The 23,562-nt window shown below is 49.5% G+C and overlaps 1 protein-coding gene across 14 annotated transcripts in view, besides 14 other annotated features; it reads right to left on the bottom strand.

Annotated features, from left to right (window-relative positions):
• The window catches only part of FGFR1 (fibroblast growth factor receptor 1), a 57,493-nt gene extending 45,046 nt beyond the window's left edge, over nt 1-12,447 (bottom strand). For 9 of the 14 annotated variants that reach the window (NM_001354368.2, NM_001354370.2, NM_023106.3 and 6 more), the window contains exons 1-2: nt 11,793-12,447; nt 1,168-1,346 (exon numbers count right to left, since the gene is read on the bottom strand). In NM_001354368.2, coding sequence (NP_001341297.1) covers nt 1,168-1,258 — 91 coding nt within the window. In that variant the 5' untranslated portion in view covers nt 1,259-1,346; nt 11,793-12,447. Of the gene's footprint in view, nt 1-1,167; nt 1,347-4,907; nt 5,068-11,483; nt 11,537-11,792 lie in introns of those variants that run through there. The other 5 variants (NM_001174066.2, NM_001354369.2, NM_001410922.1 and 2 more) reach the window with 2 other exon arrangements.
• Nucleotides 463-964: an enhancer, noted in NCBI's record as "OCT4 hESC enhancer chr8:38314169-38314670 (GRCh37/hg19 assembly coordinates)". NCBI's record gives its function as "activates a minimal SCP1, AML or CMV promoter by ChIP-STARR-seq in primed H9 embryonic stem cells {active_cell/tissue: H9 hESC(primed)}" and the evidence as "EXISTENCE:reporter gene assay evidence [ECO:0000049][PMID:30033119]".
• Nucleotides 1,478-2,466: an enhancer, noted in NCBI's record as "OCT4 hESC enhancer chr8:38315184-38316172 (GRCh37/hg19 assembly coordinates)". NCBI's record gives its function as "activates a minimal SCP1, AML or CMV promoter by ChIP-STARR-seq in primed H9 embryonic stem cells {active_cell/tissue: H9 hESC(primed)}" and the evidence as "EXISTENCE:reporter gene assay evidence [ECO:0000049][PMID:30033119]".
• Nucleotides 9,092-9,593: an enhancer, noted in NCBI's record as "OCT4 hESC enhancer chr8:38322798-38323299 (GRCh37/hg19 assembly coordinates)". NCBI's record gives its function as "activates a minimal SCP1, AML or CMV promoter by ChIP-STARR-seq in naive and primed H9 embryonic stem cells {active_cell/tissue: H9 hESC(naive and primed)}" and the evidence as "EXISTENCE:reporter gene assay evidence [ECO:0000049][PMID:30033119]".
• Nucleotides 10,061-10,200: a silencer, noted in NCBI's record as "silent region_19127". NCBI's record gives its function as "represses an Ori minimal core promoter by ATAC-STARR-seq in GM12878 lymphoblastoid cells {active_cell/tissue: GM12878}" and the evidence as "EXISTENCE:reporter gene assay evidence [ECO:0000049][PMID:35858748]".
• Nucleotides 10,431-10,550: an enhancer, noted in NCBI's record as "active region_27250". NCBI's record gives its function as "activates an Ori minimal core promoter by ATAC-STARR-seq in GM12878 lymphoblastoid cells {active_cell/tissue: GM12878}" and the evidence as "EXISTENCE:reporter gene assay evidence [ECO:0000049][PMID:35858748]".
• Nucleotides 11,730-11,849: a silencer, noted in NCBI's record as "silent region_19128". NCBI's record gives its function as "represses an Ori minimal core promoter by ATAC-STARR-seq in GM12878 lymphoblastoid cells {active_cell/tissue: GM12878}" and the evidence as "EXISTENCE:reporter gene assay evidence [ECO:0000049][PMID:35858748]".
• Nucleotides 11,860-11,989: a silencer, noted in NCBI's record as "silent region_19129". NCBI's record gives its function as "represses an Ori minimal core promoter by ATAC-STARR-seq in GM12878 lymphoblastoid cells {active_cell/tissue: GM12878}" and the evidence as "EXISTENCE:reporter gene assay evidence [ECO:0000049][PMID:35858748]".
• Nucleotides 12,187-13,173: an enhancer, noted in NCBI's record as "H3K27ac-H3K4me1 hESC enhancer chr8:38325893-38326879 (GRCh37/hg19 assembly coordinates)". NCBI's record gives its function as "activates a minimal SCP1, AML or CMV promoter by ChIP-STARR-seq in primed H9 embryonic stem cells {active_cell/tissue: H9 hESC(primed)}" and the evidence as "EXISTENCE:reporter gene assay evidence [ECO:0000049][PMID:30033119]".
• Nucleotides 12,260-12,329: a silencer, noted in NCBI's record as "silent region_19130". NCBI's record gives its function as "represses an Ori minimal core promoter by ATAC-STARR-seq in GM12878 lymphoblastoid cells {active_cell/tissue: GM12878}" and the evidence as "EXISTENCE:reporter gene assay evidence [ECO:0000049][PMID:35858748]".
• Nucleotides 12,610-12,779: an enhancer, noted in NCBI's record as "active region_27251". NCBI's record gives its function as "activates an Ori minimal core promoter by ATAC-STARR-seq in GM12878 lymphoblastoid cells {active_cell/tissue: GM12878}" and the evidence as "EXISTENCE:reporter gene assay evidence [ECO:0000049][PMID:35858748]".
• Nucleotides 15,791-16,584: an enhancer, noted in NCBI's record as "OCT4-H3K4me1 hESC enhancer chr8:38329497-38330290 (GRCh37/hg19 assembly coordinates)". NCBI's record gives its function as "activates a minimal SCP1, AML or CMV promoter by ChIP-STARR-seq in primed H9 embryonic stem cells {active_cell/tissue: H9 hESC(primed)}" and the evidence as "EXISTENCE:reporter gene assay evidence [ECO:0000049][PMID:30033119]".
• Nucleotides 16,585-17,378: an enhancer, noted in NCBI's record as "OCT4-H3K4me1 hESC enhancer chr8:38330291-38331084 (GRCh37/hg19 assembly coordinates)". NCBI's record gives its function as "activates a minimal SCP1, AML or CMV promoter by ChIP-STARR-seq in primed H9 embryonic stem cells {active_cell/tissue: H9 hESC(primed)}" and the evidence as "EXISTENCE:reporter gene assay evidence [ECO:0000049][PMID:30033119]".
• Nucleotides 18,009-18,991: an enhancer, noted in NCBI's record as "OCT4-NANOG-H3K27ac-H3K4me1 hESC enhancer chr8:38331715-38332697 (GRCh37/hg19 assembly coordinates)". NCBI's record gives its function as "activates a minimal SCP1, AML or CMV promoter by ChIP-STARR-seq in primed H9 embryonic stem cells {active_cell/tissue: H9 hESC(primed)}" and the evidence as "EXISTENCE:reporter gene assay evidence [ECO:0000049][PMID:30033119]".
• Nucleotides 21,588-22,089: an enhancer, noted in NCBI's record as "OCT4 hESC enhancer chr8:38335294-38335795 (GRCh37/hg19 assembly coordinates)". NCBI's record gives its function as "activates a minimal SCP1, AML or CMV promoter by ChIP-STARR-seq in primed H9 embryonic stem cells {active_cell/tissue: H9 hESC(primed)}" and the evidence as "EXISTENCE:reporter gene assay evidence [ECO:0000049][PMID:30033119]".

Here is a 23,562-nt window from a genome sequence, read left to right on the forward strand (position 1 = left end):
TTCACCCACTGTGTGTCAACCTTCTCTGTGTGACCAGCCACTGAGTCACGAACCACACTATCCTCTGGCAGCAGAAATGCTCATACATTAGTTTTCAAAGTCCCGCGAAAGCCACCGGTATTCTGTACCTATAATCTCCCAAGAGGCCTTTCCACAGCTCACACAGATCCCAAGAATGGTGGGGTAAGTCCTTCCTGTTACCGATGATGGCTCTGAATTTCCAACACGCCATAGGTCTCCATGCCCCTTTATGCTTCCTGGGTCTCAATCACTTCAAAACCCCTCAAACAGTACCTATCCAAAGCAAATCGCTTGGCAGGCCCCCAAACAGAACCTGTGAGACACAGTTAAGGATAGGAAAATGCAGGCGTGAAGCCATGACTGCTGACCCTTATAGAAGATGTGCCTTTTTTTCACCCAGGCTGGAGCGCAGTAGTGCAATCATAATTCACTGCAGCCTCAACTCTTAGGATCATGCAATCTTCCTGTCTCAGCCTCCTGAGTAGCAAGTAGCTGGGACTAGCAGCGTGCACCATCACACCCAGTTAATTTCCTTTTTTTTTGTAGAGATGGGGTCTCGCTATATTGCCTAGGCTGATCTTGAACTCCTGGCCTCAAGTGATCCTCTTGCCTTAGCCTCCCAGAGTGCTGAGGTTACATGTGTGACCCACTATGCCTGGCGAAGATGTGGCCTTGAAACAATTTTCTGGAAGTCAGAGGTCTTTAGCAAGCTCTCACCTCCTACAACATCCCCTGTAGTCTGACCCAAGTTCTACACGCAAATTCTAAGGTCATTCTCTCCCCATTGCACCACCAGCTGCATTTTATACATCACCTATGTTAAAGTGTGACACTAGGGTCCTCATCAGATATTCTTTCCTCAGAAAGAGAAAAGCATAAATTACCCCCCACAAACATGTCATCTCAGGTAAATGGATGTCACCAGCCTTCATGACCCCAACCTCTGATGAAGTCAGTTATGTTTATAACCAGACCAGAACCAACCCAGGTATCTTGAGAGTTTCTCCTACAGGAAGGGAGTTCTTTGCTCCACTTGGGAAGGAGCCTTCCCTGTTGACCACATCACCTGCAACCATATCACCTCCCTCCCAGCCCATCCTGTTCCCAAGGCCCAGGAGTCCAGGCTGCCCCCAGCCAGCACCTTACCTTGTTCAGGCAAGGTCGGGGACGGCCTAGCGGTGCAGAGTGTGGCTGTGACCAGCACAGCCCAGAAGAGGAGGCACTTCCAGCTCCACATCCCAGTTCTGCAGTTAGAGGTTGGTGACAAGGCTCCACATCTCCATGGATACTCCACAGTGAGCTCGATCCTCCTTTTCAAACTGACCCTGAGGAAAGGAAAAAAACCCCAAAAGTTAGGAGGGTCTAGGTAGGGGAGGGGAAAGGAAAAACAGAAGGTAAAGTATGCCATGTGGTGGCTGCTTAAAGTGTGGACTTACTAAGGCGTCCAGAAGAAAATTGTGAAGCTACCCCAACAATGAATTAGATCATAGGTCCTGGCTGGGTGTGGTGGTGCACCCTGTAATCCCAGCACTTTGGGAGGCTGAGGCGGGAGGATCACTTGAGGCCAGGAGTTTGAGACCAGCCTGGCCATGGCGAAACCCCGTCTCTACTAAAAATACAAAAATTACCCAGGCGTGGTGGCGCGCACCTGTAGTCCCAGTTACTTCGGAGGCTAAGGCAAGAGAATCGCTTGAATCCAGGAGGCGAAGGATGCAGTGAGCTGAGATTGCACCACTGCACTCCAACCTGGGTGACAGAGCGAGATTCTGTCTCAAAAAGAGAGGTTATAGGTCTTAATTGGACAGAGGGATGCTTTAGTTCAATTCTACAGCTATGTTTTGAGTGCAGATTACGTGCAAGCCTGGGAATACCATCATGAGGTTTTCCAAGGTATAAACTTCAAAGTAGTATGTGCTACAAAGTGAATGGTCTCATGAAAGTCCCAAATAGTTCTGCCCTTTTGTGGGAAACAGTTTTACAAAGTGTGCTACAATTGCAGGAGGTTTGAGCATGCTGATGGCTCCCCAGCATAAGACTTCACTCTGCCCAGGCCAGGTGCGGTGGCTCACACCTGCAATCCCAGCACTTCGGGAGGCTAAGGTGGGCAGATCATTTGAGGTCAGGAGTTCAAGACCAACCTGGCCAATATGGTGAAATCCCATCTCTACTAAAAATACAAAAATTAGCTGGGCATAGTGGTACACACCTGTAATCCCAGCTACTCAGGAGGCTGAGACAGGAGAATTGCTTGAACTCAGGAGGCGGAGGTTGCAGTGAGCCGAGATCGCAGCACTGCACTACAGCCTAGGTGACAGAGTGAGACTCTGTCTCAAAAAATTTAAAAAAAAAATTTTAAAAAGACCACTCCATCTAGGGCCAACCAGTCCCTCTGGTGAGAAATAAGGGGCAATGAAGAATCACGGAACAAGCTAAGGACCAGTAAATGGAAGCCAGGTACAGAGATAACTAGTTAGTAGCTGCTGGACTCCATGCTCAACTCCCCGACCTATGCAATGAAGCAGCTGAAATAAATGACCTCCTGGGTACTTTCTTTTTGTCTCTAAAATTGTACGAATCACATCCATAGTTCTACCAGCCTCCCTTGCAGAGAGAAGAAAACCCTCACCAGCTACTTACAAAGAGCCTAAGAGTGTGGAGCCAGGAGGGATCCAGTTCTCCCTGATGCTGGAAGGTGACAAGTGATGTCTGACGGATATGAGTCCAGAAGTTGCGGGGGGCAAGGGGGCCTGGGAGGTCCCACTGCAGAATCAAGGTCTATTGCAAGCACTGAGTCAAAGATGGCTCACACTGGCCCCAGTTAAAAGAACAGAATCTGCAGCCCTTTACCCTTCTCAGGTCTGGTGGGGTAAAACTTAAAACTCCCCAGGGTCTTAAAGAACGGATCATAGCTGTTAACATTTACCAAGTGACAAGACTTTCTGGGCACTGTCAAGGCTACGTGGGGGTGACCATCTCTATTTTCCAGGTGGCTTCTGTCCTAAATGCTCCAGGGAGCCATCCAAGTTATTCAGAGAATCTACTTCCCCGGAACATGCCCTAATGTGGTACTTCAGCCCTGCCTCCCCCGAGCCAGGCAGGGCCCCTCGCAAGTGAGTCAGTGCTGGCTGGCAGAAAAGCCCCTGGATTCTTGGCTTCGTTCACATGTGCTTGGCCAGCGGGATACACATGCCACACCACTAGCTCCCTCCCAAGGCTTACTAAAATGTTTTAATGATTTCAAATCAAAAGAGAAGTCAACATTTCTCTTTCATTTTTCTACTTTTACGAAAGGAATCAGAAAAGAGAAAATGAAATGAATACTGAACACCCACTATGTACCAAGGATGCCCTAAGTAGAATTAATTTAGAACTATAGTGAGGAATTAATTCATTCCTCACTATAAACTTATGGGGGATAAGTTTTATTATTCCTTTTATGCAATGGAGAAACTGAGGCTCAAAGAGGTTAAGTACTTTACTCAAGGAAATGTAGCTAGCATGTAATAGTGCCTCAAGGTTTTTGGATATTAGAGAACAGGGTGGGAGGAAGTAAATAAGGGATTGATCAAGCCTGACTCCATCTGATGCAAACTCAATTTATCCAAACCAAGTAGATAAGGGTAAATCCAAGGTAACTCTGGTAACAAAAGAGGCTTGATTTGCAGTTCCATTGGTCAAAGATAGACCCTTGTGCCAGGGCATGTTGGCTCATACCTACAATCCCGGGACTTTGGGAGGCTGAGGCGGGAGTATCACCTGAGGTGGGGAGTTGAGACCAGACTGGCCAACATGGTGAAATTCCTCGTCTACTAAAAATACAAAAATTAGCTGGGTGTGGTGGTGCACGCCTGTAATCCCAGCTACTCAGGAGGCTAACGCATGAGAATTGCTTGAATTTGGGAGGTGGAGGTTGCAGTGAGCCGAGATTGCATCACTGCACTCCAGCCTGGGTGACGGAGTGAGACTCTGTCTCAAAACTAACTAACTAAAAGAAAGACCCTTGGAAGCAGACCACAGATGGGCCATCTAGGACACTGCATGGGGCACATTCCCAGAGCTGGGATAGAAGCAGTGCTTGCCAGAGGATGCCCCTAAACCCATATTCCACAACTTACTACATCCCGAAAATACACCTGATGCAGGCCTGTCACCCAGAAACGCACACCTGACCAAGAAAACCCAGGTCCCTTGCTAAGTGTCAGAATACTGAACAAGTTCTCAGGTTCCAATGGGAAAGAGTGGTGTCATGTTGAGATGGTTAAGCTTGCTTCGACTTGGCCACTCTGTCCCCAGAAAAGCCTGCCGCCTCCTCCCAGGTGTGGGCTGGCTGCAGACCGCCCTCTCTCAGCTCCCTGGTCAATGCACTTCAAATTCATCTGCCAGCTTCCCTCTTGTTCTTTCCCAAAAAAGGTACAAAAAGTCTCTTCCTCTCCTACCCCTCTGGCCCTCAAGTTTGACATCTGTAAAACAAGGATGTTAAGAAAACCTGGCCTCCTGGCACCAACTCCTGGAATAAGAAGTCAGCATACACCCCATGCCACCCGCCTGCAAAAAACACAGTGACACAGGCCACTAGTCCAACATGCTGTCTGGGACCCTGCCACCTCCTGCTTCACCTCAGTTTCTCATTCTACTAATTAATGAATTTTTCCAATCCCTTAGAAACAACTTCCTTCCTTCACTGCTTGACAGATAGATGTAACCTGCAGCCTTGCAGGTGTACACAGCAGCTTCCTCCAAGACCCTGCAGCTGGTTCCCCCCGCCCCGTCTCTCCAATATCAGCTAGGCTCCTGGGATTCATGCCTGCATGCAGAGGTCCTCGGTGGGGAGCAGAGAGGGGGCACATCTCAGTTTCCCACTCATCAGAGGGGGCTGAAATACTTGCCTTGCCTCCATCACAGGTGGTTATGAAGACTGAATGGGCTGCATGGGTGAAAGTGCCTGCTGTCTTCTCACTGGAGTACTGATCCAACATACAGGGTGGACAGTGTCTGGTGAGATAGCAGGGGCTGGACGGACCACGTGACCTTGAAGCTCTCCCACTTCTAAGAGAAAAACCTATGAATGTCAGATCTCCTTGTCCAAAAATTATGTAAGGAAAACTAGCTGACGAATTCATGGCCAAATCTTTTTATTCTTTCTGAGACAGAGTGTTGCTCTGTCACCCAAGCTAGAGTGCAGTGGCACGATCTCAACTCACTACAACCTCCATCCCCCAGACTCAAGTGATCCTCCCACCTCAGCCTCCCGAGAAGCTGGGCTAATTTTCTGTATATTTAATAAAAATGGGGTCTCACCATGTTGCCCATGCTGGTAATGAACTCCTGGGCTCAGGAGATCCACCTACAGTGGCCTCCCAAAGTGCTGGGATTACAGGCATGAGCCACCACACCCAGCCTGGGTCTTTTTATTCTTGTCCGCTGGAGACAGTATGAATTCACACCCTTCCACTTATGATCTTGCCACCCTGGGATAGTCACTTAACCGTTCTAAGCCTCGGTTTCCCACCTAGAGGAAGCCACATCACAGGTGATTATGAGGCTCAAATGGGTGGTGTGGGTGACTGTGCCCATTCTCTCCTCTCTAAAGTACCAACCAAATGTAAAGAATTATGCATTTGGATTTCAGATATAATATTAAGATATTTATAATTCTCTTTGTGTAGTGCTTTGAGTCACTCCTTAATAGCACTCTCAGGAGATTTGGTAATTGGCAGCAGAAGGACAGGAACTTCCAACCTTTCCAAAGGCATTTCTCACTCTCCATCTTCATGTCTTATATTCTAGACCTGTGGCCCACACAGTGGCCACTGCACACTTGAAATGTGGCTGGTGCTAACGGATATGCTATAAGTAAAAAGTATACACCGCATCTTAAAAACTTGTTATGAAAAAAATGTAAAGTATCTCATCAATAATTTCTATATTGATTACATGTTCAAATGATAATATTTTGGAAATATAGTTACATTAAATAAAATCTAAACAAACAAGTTAATTAAAAAACAAATATTGGCCAGGCGCGGTGGCTCACGCCTGTAATCCCAGCACTTTGGGAGGCTGAGGTGGGCAAATCACGAGGTCAAGAGGTCGACACCATCCTGGCCAACATGGTGAAACCCCGTCTCTACTAAAAGTACAAAAATTAGCTGCGTGCAGTGGCGCGCGCCTGTAGTCCCAGCTACTCAGGAGGCTGAGGCAGGAGAATTGCTTGAACCCGGGAGGCAGAGGTTGCAGTGAGCCGAGATTGCGCCACTGCACTCCAGCCTGGCAACAAAGTGAGACTCCGTCTCAAAAAAAAAAATTTTTTTTACCTATTTCTTTCTTTTAACTTAATTTCCAATGTGGCTTCTAGAAAATCTGAACATATACATAACTCATGTTATAATGTTATATTTCTTTCTTCCTTTCTTTTTTTCTTTGAGATGGAGTCTTGCTCTGTCACTCAGGCTGGAGTTGCAGTGGCGCAATCTTGGCTCAACCACCGCCTCCCGGGTTCAAACGATTCTCCTGCCTCCCAAGTAGCTGGGATTACAGACATGAGCCACCAAGCCCGGCTAATTTTTTTATTTTTAGTAGAAATAGGGTTTCACCATGTTGGCCAGGCTGGTCTTGAACTCCTGACCTCAGGTGATCCACCTGCCTTGGCCTCCCAAAGGGCTGGGATTACAGGCATGAGCCACTGTGCCTGGCTTTTTTTTTTTTTTTTTTTTTAAACAGGGTCTTCCTCTGTCCCCCAGGCTGGAATGCAGTGGTGCAATCACAGCTTATTGCAGCCTCTGCCTCCTAGGCTCAAGTGATCCTCCCACCTCAGCCTCCTGAATAGCCGGGACTACCAGTAAGCACGAGCATACTCATCTAATTTGTGTATTTTTTGGTAGACACAGGGTCTCACCATGTTGTCCAGGCTCATCTCCATCTCATGGGCTCAAGCAATCCGCCTGCCTTGGCCTCCCAAAGTGCTGGGATTACAGGCATGAGCCACTGTGACCAGCTGCTCATGTTCTATTTCTATAGGGCGCCACAGCTCGAAGCAACATCCATGCCTCTGTGCAAGACTTTCTTCATGCCATTCCTTGTTCTGCAACAGGCCAGCCCTTCCCTTTTCTCTGAACCCCACCTTAAGAAGCTGTTTCTTCCATAAGACTTTCTTGGGCCTTCTAGCTGGAGAATTTCATTCCTCCAAATTTGCAAACCACATTACTAGCCCCTCTCACATAGCACTTAGGTCATATTATATGATTGTTATTTATGTTCTTCATTCTCTTCTCTCCCCACGAAACTGCAGGCTCCTTCAGAACAGGGTCTGTGCCTCCCTAACCTTTGCTAACACCCTCGGCACCTAGCATGTACACAGGAGATGCCAACATGTTTGTTAACTGGATGAATGAGTAAGTGAATGAAGGAAAAAAAAGGGCTGATGAAAAGAAACTGACAGAGATACTCCTCCAGAAAAAGAGGCTGAGAATATCAGAGAAAAGCAATTAGGTAGTACCCCTTGTTAACCAGCCAAACTCTAGTCCAAAGAACCCTGAGAAAATTTCTGGACAACTTGGTTCTTCAGAATTGAGGAAGTAACACCAAAACATTAATCCCTTCAGATGAGAATAAGACTTATTTCTTCCCCAAAGTGACCATTCTCTACTCACATGTTGAGAGGGCAGGGGGCAAGTACTTAATAAACATATGGAGAAAGTTACTCAGCTCAGCTTGCTAAATTTTAGTTGGTCCAATGGAAATGCTAATTTTTTGAGTCTCTTTAAAAAAAAAAAGTGTCTAAATGTCCTTGGAAGTAAGAGACATATAAAAAATTAGCAATAAGTGGTCAGGCACAATGGCTCACACCTGTAATCCCAGCATTTTGGGAGGCCGAGGCCAGCGGATTGCTTGAGGTCAGGAGTTCAAGCCCAGCCTGGCCAACATGGTGAAACACCATCTCTATTAAAAACACAAAAAATTAGCCGGACATGGTGGCGCATGCTTGCAATCCCAGCTACTAGGGAGGCTGGGGCAGGAGAATCGCTTCAACCGGAAGGCGGAGGTTGCAGTGACCTGAGATAGCGCCACAGCACTCCAGCCTGGGCGACAGAGCGAGACTATCTCAAAAAAAAAAAAAAAAAAAAAAAGCAACAAGTGAAACACGAACTGCTGCACATAATCTAGAAAACCTTGCTCTTGAAGACAGGATGTACTATGAGTGGAACCCCACCAAATTCTTGGGATAGTTCATCCATGTGAGGGCTATTAAATGGGGGAGAGGGCCCTAAACATGGTTTCTTTCATTGCAGGGGAGAGATAAATGGTGGCGAGGAGAGAATTTCTGTTTAAAGTAGATGCAACCTTAGGAGGAAAAACAAATATCCTAGCCCAAGTCTGACATTTCATCCTCTCTGGAAACACCAGAATCTTCTCTAAAGCTCTGCATCTGGGCTCCCACTAGTCCCTGGTGCGTTCAGGCCTTTTACAAAGCTCTGGGGAAGACAAATGTAAGACACAAATTTCCCAGGAGGAAATTAAACTATCAAGTGATGTGAGGCCCTTTCAGAATAAGACATTTGAATCAATTCTAACTCCTTTTCCTCCAGCAGCAACAGGCTCAAACTTTGCTAGGATGTTCTATAACTAACAGCCATTTTGACGAAAGACACTTTAGAAACGAAGGCAAGAAAAAAGCCTTTGTAGAAGCCGGCTGCTAAACCCCCAAGTTCATACCAGCAAATCTCTCATTTTAGGAGTCTTGTTTCAGGTCAATACTGAAAACAAAGAGCACACCACTAAAAGCAAAACCCATGGATTTTCCTTGGTCTCTAAGGCTTGAATCTGCCTACCCAGTGTTCAATTCAATTTTCTTGCCCTCTGGAGTCCACCAGGAATAAAGCTAGCCCAGCCTGAGGGATGCACCGATGTATCTAATCCTCTGCCCCTAGGGAGTGGGGGACGCTTCTCCATTTCTTCCTGAGCCTTTGCTTCCCTTGCTATCAAAGGGCCACCTAATGGAACTGTCTAACACCCTCCATGGCCAGAGGCCAAGGAAAAGAAGCACCCTAAGATTGTTCAAGTGGTGCCCACTCTGGCCTGAATTCCCATTGGGAAAAATACCTCGAAAATGAGCATTTCTGCAGGCATGTTTGGAAAAGCAGGCAGTGAAGTACGCAGTCCAAGTGGCTCTCAATCTGGATGAACCTCATTAAAAAGCTGACACTCAGCTATGACTAAGAGTAAATGCAACAGATATTTCAAGCAGCTCGTCACTGATGCAGTTCATAACCCTCCCAGCTGGAGTCAGGCCCCAGCAGCCTCCCGGTCCCCAAACACCCTGCACTCGGAGGGTCGGGGCAGCCCCGGAGCTTCTCCTAACCCACTGGGGGTAGGATATGTAAACAAGTCATTAGGGAGGCAGGCCATCGGCAAAGACGGCCGGCAATAGCAGAGGCTGCTGAACCTCGGTCACCGAGAGGAAGGTGGATGACCCGGGCGTGGGGGTGATTACCCAGACCAAGGCGCGTCCCACGGGGCCCTGCTACTTCGCTTTTAAACAAGCCTCAGGGAGGAAACCGGGAGCCCGGGCCAAGGGAGGAAAATGGCCACTTTCTGCTAAACAGTCTCAAGGCTAGATAGTATTCCAAAAAAAGCGCTGGTCCGGAGGTGCAAAGGGTAGGGCACATCTGCGGAGGAAACAGTCACCTTAATTACCACGTCTAGAGAAAGTGCGATTTCATTACAGCCTCCAAAACTACCGCCCAAAGAAGGAAACCAGAGAAGTGTTTTCAATTTGAAAGAGGCTGGAAAGAAGCGGGTAAGACACCGACTCTCCCCACCCTCCCGGCAACTTTGGACCACAAGGCGCTTTCCTGCCTCAAAGACTATTACCAAACACAACTCGAAAATCCAACCCCGCTTTCAAACCTGTAGCCGTTATTTAAACGGTAAAACACCCCACTTTAGTTTCCGGGGGATGCGGCCCAAATCAGTCCTTAAAAACACACAGAGAGCGCCTCTGGCAGCAGCCGCCCACGCCCCCGGCCCTGCGCACCGGGCTTGCTCCGGGAGGGGCGCGTGACGCCACCGCGGGGCAGCCGAGAGGGGACCGCGGGCTCCGGGCAGGGCAGGCGCTCCCGCAGCTCCAGCTATAACACAAGGGAGAGAAAGCAACGCTTTGGTTCCAGAAACTTCCATCGTCAAGGCCAGTTCTGGCCAGACGCACAGCCAAAGAGCCCCCCTAGTCTAGCGGATGAACCGTTCGCGAGTGGCACCCCCTAAAACCTTGGCCCCATCTCCCAAGATGCCTCTTTACTGCGCAATCCAGAAAGCACCCGGACCGCCGCCACCCACCAGCGGCGGCGAATAACTTGGTGAGATCTTAAATAACTCGGGATCCAAGGGAACTTTCTTTTCTCCCCCGAATCTCAACGCCGCATCTCCAAGTCTCCAGAAATGTTAAGGAGGGAGGTGGTCAAGACAGGCTGAAGAATCTGAGTTTTAATTTGGGGGAGGGGGAGGGGAGGAAGAGGGAAGTTAATAATGCGGCTGCGGTGTACCCGTGTGGGGTGAAACGGAACCAGATGCGGCTGCTACATCTGGAAATTGGGGGTGGGGGAGTGCTGGGGGAGAAAGGCACCGTGGTAATGTTTTTCAAAAGGGTTGATAGCTTCTGGGCTCAGAACAAGAAACAGGCTTCACACCCCACCCCCCCCCCACCACCACCAAAAAAGTGTCTGGCTGCCTCATAGGGGGTGTGTGTTCTATATGAACCCCCATCTACAAGGTCCATAAAATTCCTCCGCAAACATGGGTCGTAGCCTCACTTTTCTCCCAACCCCAAACATAACGGTAGGGGAAGCGAGGTGCAGAGGGGTCTGGGCCAGAGAAGCATACGCATCGCTGCCGAGTGAACCACACCGGACAAAAACCCTCATCCCTTCCCCCACCTCTAGGAACCAGATTGGGACCGAACGGTCCTTCCGCCCCCATCCCACACCTCGGCTTAACGACCGTGGGTTGTCCTCCCGTTCCCCAAACTTCCGACCCTTTCAGAGACCGTCCAAGTCATAAGATCACCCCTTCTGGAAAGGGGAGTCGTTTTTCGCTCTCAGCTCAAGCAGATTCAGCCATTTGGTGACGACACCTCCTTAAAACCTATTCCAAGAGAAGCTAACCTAGCCCTCCACGTCCTCCGCAGTTCATCTCCCACCCCATCCGACCCCAACCCGCACCCCAGGCTTTCCCGGGGGTGGAAAAGGACTTAGGAATGCCCCGGATTTTTAGCGTTGAGCCCAAAGCTACCTGCTGAATTGGGGGTGAATCCCCAAAAGGGGACCAAAAAGACATGGAGTGGAATGCAACACACACACATAACACACACAACGCATCCCACCTCGCCGCCCACTCCCGCCCTCCTCCCCAGTCCAGGAAACCGCGGGCCTCGCCGCCTTCGCCCCGGGCCTGTCCCTCCCGGGACTCACTGAGGAGCCGCCGCCGCCTCGCCAGCTCCCGAGCGCGAGTTGGAGGAAAAGTTGGGCGGCGGGAAGAGCGGCGGGACGAGCGCAGGGAGGGGGCGCAGGAGACGCGGACGGAGGGAAGGGAGGGGAGACCCAAGGGGCGCGGATCGCCCGGGAGGGAGCCAGGAGGTGAAAGGGGCGGGCGGCGAGCGGAGGGAGGCGCCGGCCCCGGCTGGGCTGCGGCGGGCAAAGCGCGCAGCCGGGAGGCTCCGGCGCCGGGGGCCGCTCGGGACGCCAAGCCCGCCCCAGATCCGGGGGCGCCGCGGCTCTTACCTCGCTCGGCGTGGAGGTTCCGCCTCGGGAGAGTCCGCCGTGGCTTGTGCGAGCGGGCGTGTGCCCGCGTCCCCGGCTCCGGCCCGCCGCCCCCGGGCTCTGTTCGGGTCCTGGCGGGGTCGCAAGAGCTCCGCGGCCGGCGCTCGACTCCCGGCGGCGCTCGGTGCTCGGCGCCTCCAGCCCGGGCGGGAACAATGGAGCCGGAGCTGGTGCCCCGGAGGCGGGGCGGGGGGAGGGCTCCCGTCCGCCACCCGGGGTCTCCAGACCTTGTGCCCCCCTCCTCCAGAACGCAGCGGCGGCGCCTCACTTTCCTTGCAGACCGGGCTCCATCGCCCTGCGGAGGCCCCGGCGCCGCGGCGTGCCCGACTGCAGCACGGGTACCGTGCGCCCTGCGGGGCGCCCCGAGCTCGGACCGGAGAAAAGTCCTTGGGTTCCGCGGCTTTTCAAGCAGCGGCGCGCTCGCGGCCGGGGAAGGCGAGGTCGCCGCAATGCGCTACGAGGGGTCTCGGTCCCGTCCGGACGTGGCCGCCCAGCTCCCGGCACACCCGGGTTCCTCCGCGCGCTGCGGCTGCACCGGCGTCCCGGCTCCCGCTAGCTGCCGCCCGCCGCCGAGGACGCCGCGCCTGTGGCCGCAAGAGCGCTCCGAGCGCTATGCGCCGGCGGGGCGCGAGGGCTCGCTCTCTCACTCCCACCCGCGCTGGTCCCTCCTCCGCCTCCGCCCCCTGCAGCTGCCTGCTGGGCCTTGTAGTTCCCCAGCCGCGGCCCCAAAGGACGGGGAGCGGGCCGAGCTGTCCGGCGCTCTGCCCTTCTCTTCCTACAGCCTGGTCTCCTTTGGCGTTTGCGCCCCTGCATCTGAGCACGTCCCAGAGGGCGCCGGAATGTCAGGCCCTAGACATAGCAGCGGTTTGGGGGCTAGGGGGCAGGTGAAGAGACGCCGCAGCCTTGAGGTTGTACCTGGTAGCGTGGGCTTTGGAGTCTGTGCGCCTTGGGGAAATGATTTTCGCGCTCTAAATCTCTGTTTTCCCATCTGTAAATGGGGGATAATAGTGCTTTTCACATAGAGTTGAGGCGTCAACGAGGGCCTAGCGCATAGTTAACACTTAGTAAATACAAGCCGGTTTTATTATAAGGTCAGCCCCTCCTCAAACCCTTCCCTTGGATTTCAGCTTTCCCCAGCCACATAATTTAGGTTTTGTGGTCCACCGGGAACTGGACCCTGTAAATTCTACAGCGATGCTGTTGGCTTCCAGAAGTCTCCAGCCTGCAGTGAATGTCTAGGAAGCAAAGAGTAAGCAGTGGGAGTTGAGGGGAGACGTGTGGTTGGTTTGGAAATTAATCACAGCCCACTCAGAACACCCTCCAGTACTGTGGAACACAGGAAAGTGGCTAAAATGCTTCCCCCTGAGTCTTCCCGCGAAGTGGTATAATGTAGTGGTTCCCTAATCCAGATGGACACGGGTCCTAGGGAACGTCTGAAAAATACAAGTTCATGGGCCTGCTCAGACATGAGGAATCACGCTGTCCCAGGAAGGAGCCAAGAGCCTTTATTTTTTCCAAGGCTCCTTGGGGCGTGTGATGTGAGCCCAGGCTGAGGCCACCATTGGGGTGGGAAGTAGGCAGCACTTGGTCTGAAGGATTCCTCCATTCTGTCCATCATTTATGAAGTTTGATGTAGGACAAATCATGCATCTGATAAAATCAAAACGGGGTATCTGTTGATACTCCTTCACAAGATGGTCATAAGAATCAAATAAAATAATAGCTCTCAGTGGACCAAAAATATTACACAAATGGAAGTCACTATGAAAGGTAGTGGCAGGGCCTGTTCCCTTACCATCACCCACCTCAACCCCGAAACTTGTAGAAGTTTGAATACTGAATGAGATCCCCCCACCCAACTCCTCACCCAACCCACCCACGCCTCCCTGGCTAATTTAAGAAAAGAGTTGGCCGGGTGCGGTGGCTTATGCCTGTAATCCCAGCACTTTGGGAGGCCGAGGCGGGTGGATCACGAGGTCGGGAGATCGAGACTATCCTTGCCAACAAGGTGAAACCCCGTCTCTACTAAAATACAAAAAAATTAGCCAGGCATGGTGGCGCTTGCCTGTAATCCCAGCTACTGGGGAGGCTGCGGCAGAGGAATCGCTTGAACCCGGGAGGCGGAGGTTGCAGTGAGCCGAGATTGTGCCACTGCACTCCAGCCTGGCAACAGAGCAAGACTCCGTCTCAAAAAAAAAAAGAAAAGAAAAGAAAAAATGGTCCTCGCGCTATTTTTCTAATCCACCAGTAGGTGACAGACTAGTGGCCAACACAGTGTTATTCACATAGTAGACACTCATGAAATCCCTTGACTGGCCAAAGAGCAAATATTCAATAAGTATTTGTTGAACAAATGAGTAAATAAACAACTAAATTACAGCTCACGCCTGTAATCCCAGCACTTTGGGTGGCCGAAGCGGGAGGATCACTTGAAGCCAGAAGTTCAAGACCAGCCTGGGAAACAAAGTGAGCCCTTGTCTCTACAAAATATTTTTAAAAATTAGCTGGAGGTGGAGGCTGAAGAAGGAGGATGGCTTGAGCCCAGGAGTTTGAGGCTGCAGTGAGCTATGATCCAGCCACTACACTCCAGCCTGGGCGACAGAGTAAGACCCTGTCTCAAAACAAAATAATACAAAACAAAAAATGAGAAACAAGAACTCATATCTTTGTTGAATAAATGAACTTCAGCCACTGTTTATAGGGTTTTCCCCTAAGAGCCACCATTTAACCTTTCAGCTCCTGGTCAAGCTTGGTTTATACTCCTATGTAAGCTGCCCACCCATTAGGCCTCCTGCATTTTAATTACTACACATCACACGCTTGTAAGAAGGCCATACTCACACCCTACCCCCAAGAGGCCTTCCCTGCCCATCCCAGCTTTGTCAGTCCCTGGACCCCCTGCTCACTTGCTGACTATCCACTGAGTTGATACCGTGCTTTGTTAGTGGTTTTCCTTACTCTGCTTTCTTTCTAACTGGTTTCTAAACTGCTTTAGGGCAAGGATCTTATCTAGGTGTCTGACCAATTCTACACAGGAGGTTTTCCATGTATATTTATTGTTCATGGACTTGCTAAGCATAACCAACCTGGGTTACCAGAGGAGGAAACACAATTTGAGGGAATATGATTGGGAAGACAAGCCATGAAAAAAATCCAGCATTTAATGTTAACACCCAGCTACTATTTTTCTACTTTGCTCCGTAATTCTTCTCAAAAAAGGGTTTTTTTTGTTTTCTTTTTTTTTTTTTTTCCTGAGATGGAGTCTTGCTCTTTTTGCCCAGGCTGGAGTGCAATGGCACGATCTCAGCTCACTCAGCTCACCTCTGCCTTCTGGGCTCAAGCGATTCTCCTGCCTCAGCCTCCCGAGTAGCTGGGATTACAGACACCTGCCACCATGCCCAGCTAATTTTTGTATTTTTAGTAGAGACAGGGTTTCACCATGTTGGCCAGGCTGGTCTCGAACTCCTGACCTCAGGTAATCTGCCCACCTTGGCCTCCCAAAGTGCTGGGATTACAGGCGTGAGCCACCATTCCTGGCCCAAAACAAGGGGTTTTAAATCAAGCCCCTTTTTCTTATGATTTAGAACCATTGTAGGAGTATCTTGAACCCCAAATAAAAGGCTAAATAATGCGTTCTTGATTTAAACAGAAAGATAATGATCTAAATGCTTGTTTGGGGTTGAGGGACATGGGCCTGCTGCTGAAAAATCCTCTATAGATTTATCAAGAAGCCAAAATGAAAGCAAGTGGCCAACTTGCCAGGGTCCCTCCTCCACTTCTCAGGGAAAGAGCTGATGGCAGCTGAACAGAGAAGGTGAGAAACTCAGCAAAGGCATGGGCTGTCCACACACTGCAGACAGGTTTCTGAATAATTGAGAGTTGGCTGCTTTTATCCTTCCAGCCCACCTCGCTCCTTTTCTGTCCCACTCCTCTACTCGCCCTCTTTCTGAAATGTAGCCCTCCCATTTCTGGAAGGGCCCCAGGCCAGTGGAGGGAGAGTGTCCCTAGGGCAGCCCTGAGCTGCTCCAGGCAACAGGGGTCAGACAGCAGCTCTGCCTGTCTCTGTTCTGCCCGAGGCCTCCTGGCACCTTGCCTCCCATACAGAAATGTAACCTTCCCTCTGAGATAACAAAGAGCTGGGAGGGTCAGGGAGGATTTGTCGGCCCTTCGCCCTGCCAGCTACATGTCTAAGGGGAGACAAAGGCCCTCATGCTGGAGGGCCTGATAACTGGTTGGGGGCCTGTTGCCTCCCACATCTGTGGGAGGAGGAGACCACTGCTGAATGAAACGAAGGGAAACGGAGCTCTCCCCAAAGCCCGGCCAGCTCTCTTTGTTTGGGAACACTGTAGGAAATCCCTTCCCTGTTCCTCCAGCTACTTGTGTCCTCAGAGTTTTCCCTGGCAGACGGGAGCTCCTCTTCCCCTCTCCCCACATTCCTTCTGCCCCTGCTCTATCTGGGTTCTGTTATTTTAGGGCTCAGCTGTGCCTACCAGGAATGATCACCCCACTACCCTGGGTCGATACTGCAGAATTAACAATTCTTTGTTATGGAACAAGTCAGGTAAAGTAAGCACCATTGACATGGGGCAAGGTTGCAGAACTTCCAGCCCAGGCTTCAAGAGTCCCCAGGATGTGGTGAGAGCTGGCAGAGTCTCCACTCCGAGAGCTGGTTGCAGAAGGGGATTCGGGAGGAGGGAACTGTCTGGGGTTTTCCCTACAAAGTGGATGGTTCACAGGTCCTGGGAGCAGGTGGGCAGCCAAGCCTTTTGCCCCAGGCCCCTGGAGTTAGGGAGCAGCAGTCAGTCACCATCTGGCCACCATTTGGTGACCCCTGTCTGTTCCCAGAGCAGCTTCAGCATGTCAGGGAAGGGAGGGTCTTATTTGGCTTGGTGTTTTTGTAAATAACATTCACTCTCTTCTGCCAATTTGGAGTGAGAAAGGGAGCGAGCTGTGTGGCAGCTCAGCTCTGTCTGGCCTGAATGCCACATCTATTCACGGAGCCTGGGGGTGTCAGGGAGCACTTCTTGTGTGTCAGGCGCTGTGCCGGGCACAGTGGATCCGAAGATGAAAGAGATGAGTGCACAGCCTGGGGGACCTCACTTGTCTTGTGGGGGAGACCAAACATGACACGTAGTGCCACCCGGGGGCATCTGCAGGGGGCTGTGGAAGGAGAGATCAGGAAGGAAGATGACTCAGGGGAAGCGATGCCTGAATCTTGAAAGATGGCAATGTGAAAATCCACAAACTCATCTGGGATAGCTGAGGAAAGCAAGCCTGGAGAGTTTGTGTTGAGGGGTGGGGGTGGGGGGTAGACAGTTGGTAGTCACTGAAGCATCGAATTATTTTGCTCTGAAGGGATGAACTTAGTCTCTGGGGTCAAACAGTTTTGAGCATGGGTCCTGATTCTGCCACTTATTGCTAGCTGTGTGATCTTGGGCAAGCTAGTTAGCTCCACTGCATTTGCTCAATGGTGAAATGAAGATAACAATGGTAACTGTTCTTCCCAGGACTGTTGAAAGGATTAAATGAGAAAATGTGTGTAATGCACTTGGCAAAGCGCCCAGAACATTGTAAATGCTCAATAAATGGTAGTCATTGTTGTTATTATTATTTTTTAGCCCAGGAACTTTCCTTTGATGGAAGACACCTTCTGGAGCCTGCATATCTTTGTGGCTTTTTTTTTTTTTTTTTTTTTTTTAGATAGGGTTCCTCACTCCCCCAGGCTGGAGTGCAGTGGCACGATCTTGACTTACTGCAGCCTCGACCTCCTGGGCTTAAGCAATCCTCCCACTTCAGCTTCCCAAGTAGCTGGGACTACAGGCATACACCACCATGCCCAGTTGGTTTTTGTATTTTTTTGTGGAGGTGATAGTCTCCTTATGTTGCTCAGGATGGTCTTGAACTCCTGGGCTCAAGCCATTCACTTGCCTCAGCCTCCGAAAGTGCAGGGATTACAGGTGTGAGCCACTGCACCCAGCCTTCTTTGTGACTTTCTTATGTATTTACCATCTCTACCCCCACTTCCACCCTGGATTCTCTGTTCCCCAACACCAGCTGCAGAAAAGGATATATTTTTCACCCTCATCTCCCTCTTCCTTGGTGTACCCCAAGATAAACAGCCCTTTTTGTTATAGATTTTACTGTGAAATAAGAGAAAAACAACAAGAACACATATGGGGAAGCTAAGGGGCCCTATTAAACCTCAGCGAATCCTTCCAGCTATGGTCGCTGGTCTAGGATTCTGACTCCCTTCAGAACACTAAATGCAAACAAGCTGGTCTTCTGTCCTGTGTGTTTCTTCAGGGTTCTCCAAAGGCTCTCCTCTTTCTGACACAGACTTGTAAACCCTCTCCTGGTTAAAGCCACTCATCCAAGGGCTGGGGTCTGGAGAGGTGACAGAGGAGGCAGTGGCAGAACAGTGAAAAATTTGCATTTCTGAGGACCGCCCTCCACCCCCAAGAGTGAAGGACCTAGTTCCTTAGGCTTTGCCCTGCCTAGGTACAAAGATCAAAGTTTCAGGGTTAGGCTGAGATACTTGAGGATTCAACTTTGATGCGGATTCCATCCAAGGATATGCTAATAAAGTTGCAGCTGACTTCTCCTGGGTTGTTAAGAACCTTTGGCGATATTGGGCTGGGTAGGGTCAGAGAGGAAGATAATTTAAAAATAGATGGTGTTCTCCCATTCAGGTTAAATTTCCCCCTAACTGAATTTTATTATTCTGTCAAAACAAAACAAAATAGTTAACCAAATTTTTAATAGTGGTTTTCTTTGGGAATGTGATTGTAAGAGGCTTATACTTCGGTTTAGTTTTGTTTTTTTGAGCCAGGCTCTATTTTTTTGAGCCACCTCTCTCTGTTGCCTAGGCTGGAGTGAAGTGATGTGATCACAGCTCCCTGGAGCCTTGAACTCCTGGGCTCAAGTGATCCTCCTGCCCCAGCCTCCCAAGTAACTGGGACTACAGGTCCATGCCACTATGGCTGGCCAATTTTTAAATTTTTAATTTTTTGTAGAGACAGAGTCTAGCTATGTTGCCCAGGCTAGTCTTGAACTCCTGGGCTCAAGTGATTTTCCCACCTTGGCCTCCCAAAGTTCTAGGATTACAGGTATGAGCCACTGTGCCTGGCCCATTTTTTATGTACCTTTACATTGTTTGACTTTTTTGAGAGGAGTTTTTTTTATAGGCCCTGGGCTGGAATCCTGTGTGCTACTGCCCGGCTGCCTCTGCCCAGAGGAAGTGGCCTTCCTCCAATGTGCTCCAAGGCACCCTGGCCCTGATCTTGTACTAGTTTTCTAATCAGCAAAATATAATAATAATGATAATAATAATATATAGTGATTTTTTTTTGAGGCAGAGTTTCGCTCTTGTTGCCCAATCTGGGGTGCAATGGCGCCGTCTCAGCTCACCGCAACCTCTGCCTTCCGGGTTCAAGCGATTCTCCTGCCTCAGCCTCCAGAGTAGCTGAGATTACAGGCACACACCACCACGCCCATCTAACTTTTTGTATTTTCAGTAGAAACAGGTGTGGCGCGTGCCTGTAATCCCGGCTACTCAGGAGGATGAGGCAGGAGAATCACTTGAACCCAGGAGGTGGAGGTTGCAGCAAGCCGACATCGCGCCATTGCACTCCAGCCTGGGTGACAAGAGTGAGACTCCTTCTCAAAAAAAAAGAAAAGAAAAGAAAAGCCTTCTTAGTCATCCAAAGAGAAAGAGGGACAACATGAAAGCTGATCTCCTGATATCTCAGATGACTAAAGAATGGTTTGGGTTCTGGAAGGGCTGGAGATGCCTCTGACTGCCTGTCTTCACCGAAACCTGGTTTCCTCCATGCCACTGAGTGCAGAGAGCTTTCAGGGCACCTTTTTGAGGCCTGCCTAGCCCAGGAGAAGCCAGGCATACCCTGACAGTGCCCGGCAGCCAATATAGGGTTTTGGTTAGCAGATGAGGGGGGCCTGTAGGTATCTCTTTGCTGAGTCAGCTGGGGTGGATTTCTCAGGCCTATCTAGAAAGTAATCTGCGTGGGTGTTAAGTCCCCTTAGTTCTTCCAGGATGTTTCTTGCTAAGGCTAGATAGAGGCCAATTATTTGCTGCTCTGTTCCTAACACCATTTGTCTGGTTCTGATAGGTTTCCAAGCATGTGAGCATGTGAGCTTATTTTCTGAGAAATACACAGATGGACCTTGTTTGATGGTGCTTTGCTTTTTTTTTTTTTGAGATGGAGTCTTGCTCTGTCGCCCAGGCTGGAGTGCAGTGGCGCGATCTTGGCTCTGCAATCTCCACCTCCCAGATTCAAGCAATTCTTCTGCCTCAGCCTCCTGAATAGCTGGGACTACAGGTGCGTGCCACAATGCCTGGCTAATTTTTTTTTTTTTTTGTATTTTTAGTAGAGACGGGATTTCGCCATATTGGCCAGGCTGGTCTCAAACTCCTGACCTCGTGATCCACCCGCCTTGGCCTCCCAAAGTGCTGGGATTACAGGTGTGAGCCACCGCGTCCGGCCAGTGCTTTGCTTTATCGTACTTCCCAGATAGTGCGATTTTTAAGCATGGAATGTTTGTGGCAACCCTGAATTGAGCAAGGCCATTGGCGCCATTTTTCCAGCTGAGTGTGCTCACTTCATGTCTTTGGGACACGTTTTGGTAATTTTTGCAAAATTTCACACCTTCTCATTATTATTATATCTGTCATGGTGATCTATGATCAGTGATCTTTTCATTATTGTCATTGTTTTGGGGCACCATGAATCATACCCATATAAAACAGTGAACCGAATCGATAAATATGTGTTGCAACTGCTCTACCGACTGGCTGTCCCCCACCCCTCCCTTTCCTTGGGCCTGCCTATTCCTTGAGATACCACAATATTGAAATTAGGTCAATTAATAATCCTACAATGGCTTCTGAGTGTTCAAGTGAAAGGAAGAATTCCATGTCTCTCACTTTAAATCCAAAGCTAGAAATGATTGAGCTTAGTGAGGAAGGCATGTTAAAGACTGAGATAGGCCCAGACGCAGGCCTCTTGTGCCAAATGATTAGCCAAATTGTGAATGCAGAGGAAAAGGTTTTTTTTTTTTTTTTTTGAGACGGAGTCTCGGTCTGTCCCCAGTCTGAAGTGCAGCTGCGTGATCTTGGCTCACTGCAATGTCCATCTCCCAGGTTCAAGTGATTCTCCCACCTCAGCCTCCTGAGAGTAGCTGGGATTACAGGCATGTGTCACCACACCCAACTAATTTTTGTATTTTTAGTAGAGATGGGGTTTTGCCATGTTGGCCAGGCTGGTCTTGAACTCCTGACCTCAGGTGATCTGCCTGCCTTGGCCTCCAAAGAGCTGGGATAACAGGCGTAAGCCACCACACCCAGCCAAAAGTTCTTTAAAAAAAATTAAAAGTGAGGCTGGGTGTGCAGTGGCTCACATCTGTAATCCCAGCACTTTGGGAGGCCGAGGCAGATGGATCACGAGGTCAGTAGTTCGAGTCCAGCCTGGCCAACATAGTGAAACCCCGTGTCTACTAAAAATACAAAAACTGGCTGGGTGTGGTGGCGCGCCCCTGTAGCCCCAGCTACTCTGGAGGCTGAGGCGGGAGAACCACTTGAACCCAGGAGGCTGAGGTTGCAGTGAGCCGAGACCACGCCATTGCACTCCAGCCTGGGTGACAGAGCGAGACTCTGTATCAAGGAAAAAAAAAAAATTAAAAGTGCTACTCCAGTGAACATATGAATGACAAAAAAGCAAAACAGCATTATTGCTGATATGGAGGAAAGTTTGGGTGATCTGGATAGAAGATCAAACCAGCCATAACATTCCCTTAAGCCAAAGCCTAATCCATAGCAATGCCCTAACTCTCTTCAATTCTGTGAAGGCTGAGGGTGATGAGGAAGCAGCAAAAGAAAAGTTGGAAGTTAGCAGAGGCTGCTTCAACTTAAGGAAACAAGCCATCTCCATATAATAAAGGTGCAAGGTGAAGCAGCAAGTGCTGATGTAGAAGCTGCAGCAAGTCATCCAGAAGATCTAGCTAAGATCATAGATTTTTTAATGTAAATAAAACAGCCTTCTATTGGAAGAAGATGTAATCTAGGACTTTTCTAGCTACAGATAAGTCAATGTCTGGCTTCAGAGCTTCAAAGGACAGGCTGACTCTCTCTTGTTAGGAGGTAATGCAGCTGGTGAGTTTAAGTCGAAGCCAGTGTTCATTTACCATTTCAAAAATCCTATTGCTGTTAGAAATTATGCTAAATCTACTCTGCTTGTGTTCAGTAAATGGCATAACTAAGCCTGAATGACAGCACATCTGTTTACAGTATGGTTTACTGAATTTTTTTTTTTTTTTGACAAGGAGTCTTGCTCTGTCGCCAGGCTGGAGTGCAGTGGTGCGATCTCGGCTCATTGCAACCTCTGACTCCCAGGTTCAAGCCTCAGCCTCCTGAGTAGCTGGGATTACAGACATGCACCACCACACCCAGCTAATTTTTGTATTTTTAGTGGAGACAGGGTTTCATCATGTTGGCCAGGATGGTCTCGATCTCCTGACTTCGTGATCCGCCCACCTCAGCCTCCCAAAGTGCTGGGATTACAGGCGTGAGCCACCGTGCCTGGTGGTTTACTGAATAAAACCCGCTGCTGAGACCTACTGCTCAGAAAAAAAGGATTCCTTCAAAGGTATTACTGCTCATTGACAACATACCTGGTTACCCAAGAGCTCTGATGGAGATGTTCAAGGAGATAAATGTTGTTTTCATGCCTGCTAACACAGCATCCTTCTACAGCCATAGACCAAGGAGTAATTTTAACTTTCATGTCTTATTGTTTAAGAAACACATTTTATAAGGCTGTAGCTGTCTTAGATAGTGATTCCTCTAATGGATCTGGGCAAAGTCGACTGAAAAACCTTCTGGAAAAGATTCACCATTCTAGATCCCATGAAGAACATTTGCAATTCATAAGAGAAGGTCAAAATATTTACATTAATTGGTGTTTGGAAGAAGTTTATGCCAACCCTCATGGATAACTTTGAGGGGTTCAAGACTACAGTGAAGGAAGTAACTGCAGATGTGGTGGAAATAGCAAGAGAACTAGAATTAGAAGTGGAACCTGAAGATGTGACTGAATTGCTACAAGCTCATGATAGAACGTGAATGGATGGGGAGCTGCTTTGTTGCTTCTTATGGATGAGCAAAGAGAGTGTTTTTTTTTTTTTTTTGAGATGGAGTCTCATTCAGTTGCCCAGGCTGGAGTGCAGTTGTGCGTTCTTGGCTCTCTGCAACCTCCGCCACCTCCCAGGTTCAAGGGATTCTCATACCTTAGCCTCCCGAGTAGCTGGGATCACAGGCATGTACCACCACGCCAAGCTAATTTTTGTATTTTTAGTAGAGACAGGGTCGGAGTTTCCCTCTTTTGCCCAGGCTGGAGTGAAGTGGCACTATTTTGGCTCACTGCAACCTCTGCCTCTTGGGTTCAAGCAATTCTTCTACCTTAGCCTCCCGAGTAGGTGGGACTACAGGTGTGTGCCACCACACCTGGCTAATTTTTATATTTTTAGTAGAGACAAGGTTTCACCATGTTGGCCAGGTTGGTATCAAACTCCTGACCTCAGGTGATCCACCCTCCTTGGCCTCCCAAAGTGCTGAGATTACAGGCATGAGCCACAGCACCTGGCCGAGAGTAGTTTCTTAAGATGGAATCCACCCTTCGTGAAGATACCGTGAGCACTGTTGAAATGACAGCAAAAGATT

The sequence above is a fragment of the Homo sapiens genome, chromosome 8, assembly GCF_000001405.40.
Source record: "Homo sapiens chromosome 8, GRCh38.p14 Primary Assembly".
Taxonomy (NCBI): domain Eukaryota; kingdom Metazoa; phylum Chordata; class Mammalia; order Primates; family Hominidae; genus Homo; species Homo sapiens.